Source organism: Homo sapiens, chromosome 21 (genome assembly GCF_000001405.40).
Source record: "Homo sapiens chromosome 21, GRCh38.p14 Primary Assembly".
Taxonomy (NCBI): Eukaryota; Metazoa; Chordata; class Mammalia; order Primates; family Hominidae; genus Homo; species Homo sapiens.
Window position 1 is genome coordinate 41,656,137 of NC_000021.9, and position 8,393 is coordinate 41,664,529.

Sequence of the window (8,393 nt, forward strand, 5' to 3'; positions counted from 1 at the left end):
GCTTTGAATCTCTAGATGTCAGAATTAATTCAGACTCTAAATCCAACAGCCCCCAAAAGATCTGGACATGCTCCTTTTCCAGTGGACTACCTGAAAAATGGCTCCAGGGCCCTCCAGGAAAGGCCTGGGGAATCGCTGCAGCTTTTCTCATGGTGAGATTACGGCATCTCATTGTGGGGACTTGGCTTCTCCATTCCATGGGTTCCTGCTCAGGTCTGGAAACTGGCAAAGGACTGTGACTTTCTACCAGTCAAAAGATATTAAGAATGATGGCCACTCATTCTTAAAACCTTTTGATTTTAAATATTAAATAATACTCTTTTTAAAAATGTTATCTTATTTTATAAATAGAGACAAGGTCTTGCTATGTTACCCAGACTGGTCTTGAACTCCTGGGCTCAAGTGATCCTTCCATCTCCCAAAATGCTGGGGTTACAGGTGTGAGCCACTGCACCTGGCCTAAATAGTATTCTTAGTATTAACTGTTGTATCAGTCATTGTTCCACCATTGAAACAGAATCCGTAGGAAATACATGTCGAGAGATTTATTGCAAGGAATCAGCGTGTGCGATGGTGGAGGCCGCCTAGGCAAGTCAGGAGGCACAGGCTGGAACTCTGGGGCACAGACCAAAGCTGGCATCCCCAAGGGAGCTTTTTCTTTAGGAAAGTCTCATCTCTATTCTTCAAGCCTCTGAACAGATCAAATGAGGCCCACACAGATTCCCCAGGACAATCTCCCTTACTTAAGGTAAACCAACGATGGACTTTCGTCACGTTCACAAAACACCTTCACAGCAGCAACGAGACAACAGTTTGAGTGAATAACCGGGGACTCCAGCCTGGCCGAGCTGGCATGTAAACCCCCCATCACACCTGACCATCTCTCTTCTGGGAGCACTACGTTCTGCCATGCAGCTCTCCAGATTCCTGCAGGCCAGGAGTCTCTGGCTGCCTTTCTGACCTTGCTGTGCAGTACAGGGATCACACTGACCTTGCTTCTGATGGTTAAGGGTTGAATAGTCTCTGCCAGTCCAGCAGCCCATCACCCCCACTGCTGCCAGGGAGTTAGTTCTGTAACAGCATCTCCTATCATCATCCACATTCTAGAGAGAACAGCCTCCACTCCGATTCTTGGTAGTGTTGGTGTCCGCCCACCCCATGGAGTGTCCCCTGGGCCCTTCTAAGGAACCCAGCTGACAGGTTTTCCAACATTCCCCAGTAGACGCATTCTAGCACAGCCCCTTCCCTGAGCCACTGTCTACCATGCAGGGTGCAACTATTCTTCACTTAATGTGGACTGTTGGCTTTTCCAAGCTTTTTAGGGCCATCCTAATGGTGCATTGAACTTTCCCAGGGTCCTTCTAAGGTGTCAAATCCTGTGCTACAGTGACAGCCTTCATGGCAGTAAATTTCTTATCCAGCTTTCTTTTCTGTTGTTGGGGAAGAGAAACCTTTCCTTCTACCCTTATAGGTTTAGCAAATGAGGGCCTGTGAATTAAACTGACAAAAGACAGATTAGCAAGAGAAAAGAGAGAGTATGTGGGGTGGGGGGGCACCGGTAGTGGGTGCTTGGTGGCTCACACCTGTAATCCCAGGACTTTGGGAGGCTGAGGTGGGCAGATCACGAGGTCAGGAAATCGAGACCATCCTGGCCAACATGGTGAAACCCTGTCTCTATTAAAATACAAAAAATTAGCTGGCTGTGGTGGCGTGCGCCTGTTTTCCCAGCTACTCTGGAGGCTGAGGCTGGGGAGTCGCTTGAACCTGGGAGGTGGAGGTTGCAGTGAGCTGAGATCATGCCACTGCACTCCAGCCTGGCGACAGAGCAAGAATCAGTCTCAAAAAAAAAAAAAAAAAAAAAAAGGAAAGAAAAGGCAGAGTTGATTTACATGTCCAGCACACACACATGCAGAGTGCTCAGTGGTGAGGAACTCAAAGGGCCCGTGCCTGCAGTGTGAACAAAATACCAAGCAACAGAAATTTATTTCTCACAGTTCTGGAGGTTGAAGAATCCAAGATCAAGGTGATGTAGGGCAGACAAGCCCAAAGTGGAGCTTAGCCTGTGAAGACACTTGGTTTTGCCCAGGAAAGAATTTAAGGGCAAGGCAGAGGTAGAAGGAAAGTTTCATTGAAGCAGTGGAGTTACAGCTCCAGGACTGCTCCTGCAGAGTGGAGCTAACCCACAGGCAGTGAGTAGCAGCTCAGGGCAGTTCTGTAGTCATATTGATACCTACTTTTCATTGCATGCAGATTAAGGGTGGGTTATGCAGACATTCCTAGGGAATTTTGGGTCTTTGGGTCATTGCCATGGAAAGGGGCAGTAACTCCCAGGCGTTGCCATGGCGATGGTCAACTGACATTGCACACTGGTGGGCTGTCTGATGGAAAGCTGCTTCCACCCCAGCCCTGTTTTAGCTAGTCCTCAATTTGATCTGATGTCCAAGCCCCACCTCCAGAGTCAAGCCTCACCTCCTACCTCCCTAGTGCCAGCAGATTCCGTGTGTGGTGAGGGCACGCTCTCTGCTTTCAAGATGGCACTTTCTGCCTGCATCTTCACGCAATGGAAGGGATAAGGCAGCCTCTTCCACCTCTTTTTTAAGGGCACCAATCCCAGGGATGAGGGTGGGGCCCTCCGGATTTAATCTCCCCCAAATCCCCACCTCTTAATCCACAAGGTTAGAGATTAGATTTCAACACAGGGATTTTGGAGAGACACAAACATTCAGACCATAGCATGTGCCTAAATTATAGGGGAAAGGGAGAAGGAGACAGGTTTCTAAGGAAGAACAAAGTTGCTTTAGGAAAGACACATGGGCTTTTAGCAGGACAAATGGGAGATGAGAAAGTGAAGGATAGAGTTTGTTTATGCAGATGTGAGTGTTCATCATGGTCACAAAACTCCCCTGGAGAAGGAATTCATAGCAGGTTTATTCTGGATCTCTCTCCTGGGAGGAGAAGCCACCTCAAAGAGGGAATTAGGGCACTTCTCACCTCTTAGAAGTTTCTTTTAGTGAGATGAGAGAAGTTCTAAGAAGGTTTCTTTCTGCATCTATTAAATCTTTCTTACATGACTTCAGCTTAAAAGAATCTTCATACCGACTCTGGGGTTCCCAGGGGTTCCCCACCCTGTTTCCCTGGATCCAAAGCCCTGGAGACTCCCCTTCAGGGATGGTCTTCTGGGTCCTGCTCCAGGTGTCAGCCAGGCAGTGCTGCGATTTGACCAGACACCCAGAGGTCAGGCCAGGAAGGAGAGGGAGGCAGGTGCTGAGGAAGCCAAGATTTGTCCCACAAGACACCGCTATACCAGACCCCTTTCTACCTTTAAGCAGAAGAGAGGGTGAGGGTGAACGGGGGAATCTATCTTTGAACAAGGGGCAGGGGACCACTTTTGCAAGCCCAGAGAATTAGGTGGAATCTGGCGTTTAAAGACTTCAGATGCACCTGCCCAAGTATTTCCCCCCCAAGGCTTGGGGTCCCCTCCCCGTGTCTCAGACCCTTGACTTCAGCCCCAAGACAGCCTGTTTTCCTCTTTGAAGGTGTAGCTGCCCACTTCTAGCCTTTACAACCACTATTCCCATGACCTTCCAGCCACTGTGCCTCCCTCCACTGCCACCTACCCACTCACCCAGCTGAGGGGAAGCTCCCTGGACACTGGGGCTGAGAATCTTCTCATCCCAGGTGCTGGGACCCTCAGGGCCACCCAACTGGCAGGGATCCCACCTGGACAGGGTCTCATCTGCAGAGTCTGCTTCCTGGGACCCCTTCCCTAGACCCACAGCCTGAGAGACGGATTCTCATGGCCAGTCTATTGAAAAGATGAGTGGCAATGGGAGGGGGCCTTGAGCAAGCCGGGGGCTGTGGGGAAGGAAAGAGCCGAGACAGCCTCTGCGTGTGGTCACACCACTGCGTTGCCCCTCGCTGAGGAAAGGGGCTGTGGCTGTACCCCACATCAGGCAGTGAGGCCCTGGTTGTAGGCTGGGAGTAAGTGGTCACTTCTGGAGGCTGCCATTAGGCCCAGAACACTGCTCCAGGTACAGGGATCCGGGTGGGGCCACCTCGGCACGCACCTGCCCTCATGTGGGCAGCCCTGATTCCTGGGACAGGGCTGAGGTTCAGCTTTACGGCAGTTGGAGGAGCTGCCCCCCTCTGCCCCCACTCCCCACCAGCTATTGCAAAGCTGAACGCCTACAGGGCCAGGCAGGAAGTACAGAGTGCGCCAGCCCCCGGGGACTCTGTGAACTGCAGTGTGAGCAACTCCCCTACACTGGGAAGGCTTGGCCCAGGGCACTGGACTGGTCAGATCCGGCTGACTCACAGGTCACCAGTCTGCAACCTTTGCCAAACACTCTCACTCCATCCCGCTACCCGGAGCCAGTTGGCATCACCTTGGCCATGCCAACATTCCAGGGTAGAAGTTAGCATTTCCAAACCCAGTTCATCGGCAGAATTGCTTGAGACACTTTCTTTAGACTGTCTGGATTTTCTTCTCTTTTTTTTTCTGGAATTTTTTAAATTTCAGAAGTAACGCATAGTTGATTTCAGAAGGTCAAGCGTGAAGGAAGAAGCAGCTACGGGAACATTTTGCAGCTGAAAGCCTGTCCCCCACAACCTCTGTAGGGCAGCTGCAGATGCCTCACACAAGTCAGTCCATTCCGAAGCAGGACTTTTGGGATGCGGCCGTGCTCTTGGATGGTCCACTCAGTGCTCTCTCTCACCCTCTCCAGGATGTGCTGAGAAATGGTAGCCTTGGGAGACACCCACTGTGAGGACCTGTGGCTCTAGAGCCAGGTGCTCTGAAGGAAAACAGCAGAAAGGGATGCAAGAGTGGCACGGGCTGGGTGGGCACGGCCGTCCCTTTGGGGCTGCCTCTTTAGGAGGTGGGAGAGGGCTGAGGCCAGCGGGGAGAAGGAGTCAGCTTCACCCACGGTGCTGGGAAGGGCAGAGGGAACAGCACGGTGCAGCCAGGCAGGGATCCCCAACGTCACTGTCAGGTGTGAGCCCCAAGGTGCCCAATGTCACACTGCTGGGAACTGAGCCTCCACAGGCCCTTCTCTAAACCTGCATCCTTCTCTGTTGCACTGGAGATCCAGGAGATGAAGATAATTAGTATTATTAGTGGGTAGAGACAGGGGTCTCACCATGTTGCCCAGGCTGGTCTCAGACTCCTGGGCTCAAGTGATCCACCTGACTCGGCCTCCCAAACTGTTGGGATTACAGGCATGAGCCATGGGGCTCGGCTGCCAGGAAATAATTTATATATAAATCTCTCATGGGCCACTGTGTAGCACCTGACATGTTGGTGCTCACCTCAAATTCTCAACATCCTTATCACGTGGAGACACTGAAGTCACTAAAACATCCCTTGGGGGTGCTTGCCAGGGACTCGGGGGACGGAGGAAAGGGGGGTTGCTTTACATGGACACAAAGTTGCAGTTTTGCAAGATGAAAAAGTTCTGGAGGTTGTTTGCACACCAGTGTGAATATACTTAGCACTACGGAATTGTGCATCTATGATTGGTTAACATAGTACATTTTATTTATGTATATTTACCAAAATTGTGTGTGTGTGTGTGTGTGTGTGTGTGTGTGTGTGTGTGTGTGTGATAGAGTCTCGCTCTGTTGCCCAGGCTGGAGTGCAGGGGCGCGATCTTGGCTCACTGCAACCTCTGCCTCCTGGATTCAAGTGATTCTCCTGCCTCAACCTCTCTAGTAGCTAGGACTACAGACGCACGCCACCACACCCGGCTAATTTTTGTATTTTTAGTAGAGACGGGGTTTCACCGTGTTGGCCAGGTTGGCCTCAAACTCCTGACCTCAAGCGATCCGCCCACCTAGGCATCCACAGTTTTTTTTAGTTTCTTGGAGAAGTGGGCTGGGGCCTCCTGATCCCATCTCAGTACCATACTCCATTCCATTCACATCATGAGGATGGATCATATGATGAGGATCCCATCAGATCCTCCTGATCTCAATACCATACTCCATTCCAGCCACATCAGTCTAACCCATAAAACAAGGGAGGAGATGGCAGCTCAAATAAGCCAACAAGCCTGAGCTTTTGCACCATCCCCGCAAGGAGGAATGCCATCGTCCCTTAGGATGCAAAGTTTCTGGGCTCCTACAAAAGCCTCTGTCCCCAGAGGACTCTCTTGGCTTCCCGCCCTTGTGGAGGGTCCCGGGCATCACCCCAGGACCTCTGTCAAGAGCCAGGGCTCCCAGGCTCATGGTGGTCCAGTGGCCCCCTGCAGTTGTGGCTGGGACACTCTGCTGCGTGATGCAGCTGGCGTTCGGTGTTTGTAGCAATGGGGTCAGCCTTGCATGGTCCCTAACCTCCCCTGGGGACTTACAAAGTCTCTGGTCCCACATGGCATCTGAGATCTGCTTCCTAACTGAGGCAGCTTCAATTTAGCTTCCAGGTTCAGTGGCCCTGCCGTGGGACAGGGGCTCACCTACAACAGTGGGTGGAGCAATCTGCAGCAGGATAGAAGGAGGAGAAAAAACTAGAAGCTGAGAATGAATGGACCCCAATGCAGCAAAATGCTACTGGTAATTGCATTAACATAGATAATAGCCTGTAGTCATTCATTCACTCCTTTTTTCTTTCTCTCATTCCACAAATATTTATGGGGCTCCTCCCTATGCACAGCACTGTGTTATGCACTGCAGACTTGAAGGTCCATGCATCTGTGATGTCTACTTCCCTGAAGCTGGCATCCTCCAGGTGGAGACGGACAACACACCAGTACCCAAAATGATGGCAGGTTCTGTGCCGTCAAGAGAGTCAACATGGTGAGGACGTCGGGTGCAGCTGCTGGGGACGGGGCATGGCAGCCCATCTTTGGGTCCGGTAGTCAGGAAGGCCTCTCGGAAGAGGTGATATTGGATCTGAGATCCGGAGGGTGAGAGTGATCTTTGGAGGGGCCGCCCATGCTCAGGAAAGAGCAGAGACAATGATCATGTCATCTAGTATTTCAGCCCCTGTTCATCTAGCTTGGCTAACAAATCACCTTGTGATATATGGTTTGGCTGTGGCCCCACCCAAATCTCATCTTCACTTGTAGCTCCCATAATTCCCACATGTTGTGGGAGGGACCTGGTGGGAGATAATTGAGTCATGGGGTTTTCCCCCACACGGTTCTTATGGTAGGGTCTCATGAGATATGATAGTTTTATAAGAGGAAGCCCCTTTCACTTGGCTCTCTTTCTCTCTCTTCGCTGTCACCATGTAAGACCTGCCTTCACCTTCTGCCAAGACTGTGAGGCCTCCCCAGCCACATGGAACTGTGAGTCCATTAAGCCTCTTTTTCTCTATAAATTACCCAGTCTCAGGTGTGTCTTTATCAGCAGCATGAGAACAGACTAACACACCTTGCCAGTGTTTATCCTTAGAGGTGCATTCCTTTGCACCAGTAACGGAACCATTGATATTTAGAGGATCAAAGATGCAACCAGGAGTGGTGGCTCACGTCTGTAATCCCAGCACTTTGGGAGGCCAAAATGGGAGGATCACTTGAGGTCAGGAGTTCGAGACCAGCCTGGCCAACATGGTGAAACCCTGTCTCTACTAAAAATACAAAAATCAGCCCGGGGTGGTGATAGGCACCTGTAATCCCAGGTACTCAGAAGGATGAGGCAAGAGAATCGCTTGAACCTGGGAGGCAGAGGTTGCAGTGAGCCGAGATCGCACCACTACACTCCAGCCTAGGTGACAGGGTGAGACTCTGTCTCAACAACAACAACAAAAAGATGCAATTGTAATGAGCTCTGTGTAGTCTATGAGCCCCCAAACACTCACGTTTGCCAGGTGTGTGTGTCACCACAAGATGGGGCACAGGGGCTGCCCTGGCAGGAGGGTCACTTGGAGAAGGAGTAAGCCCTGTGGAGGATCCAGTGTTCATCCACCCTGGGGCTAGGCATGAGAGGGTCCTCCAGGAGAGGCTGCACACAGAGGAGGAAAACCTGCAGGGCTGACTTGAAGCCGGGACACTTAAGGAGAAGCCCCAGTGTTCACACTGTAAAACCAGCCAGGACACTGGCAGGAACACTGTCTGGGTGTTCGGGAACTTCGCATTTCCAGCCAGCATGTGAAGGCGCGTTCTTCCACTTTAAGGTCCGCTGCAGAAGTGGCAAAGCCATGTGCCTTGAGCTCTGCTCACAGGAAAGAACACGACAAAGCTAAGGGGACTTCACAAGGGCTGTGTCAAAAGAGGTTCACTTCCCTTCTGTCAGACGCGGGGCAAAGGTCGGGAAAGTGTGCTGCTGTGACTCACTGCATGTCTGTAGCTGATGCCCAAGCCCTCTTGTTTGTTTCAATGTCTTCATGCAGAGATTGACTTTTTAAAATCAAAGGGACCAACATGTCTTCTCTGAAATCCGCAGGGCCAAGGTGGGTA

At 51.2% G+C, this 8,393-nt stretch overlaps 1 annotated feature.

The window, feature by feature from the left end:
- Positions 3,405-3,992: an enhancer, noted in NCBI's record as "H3K27ac-H3K4me1 hESC enhancer chr21:43079701-43080288 (GRCh37/hg19 assembly coordinates)". NCBI's record gives its function as "activates a minimal SCP1, AML or CMV promoter by ChIP-STARR-seq in naive H9 embryonic stem cells {active_cell/tissue: H9 hESC(naive)}" and the evidence as "EXISTENCE:reporter gene assay evidence [ECO:0000049][PMID:30033119]".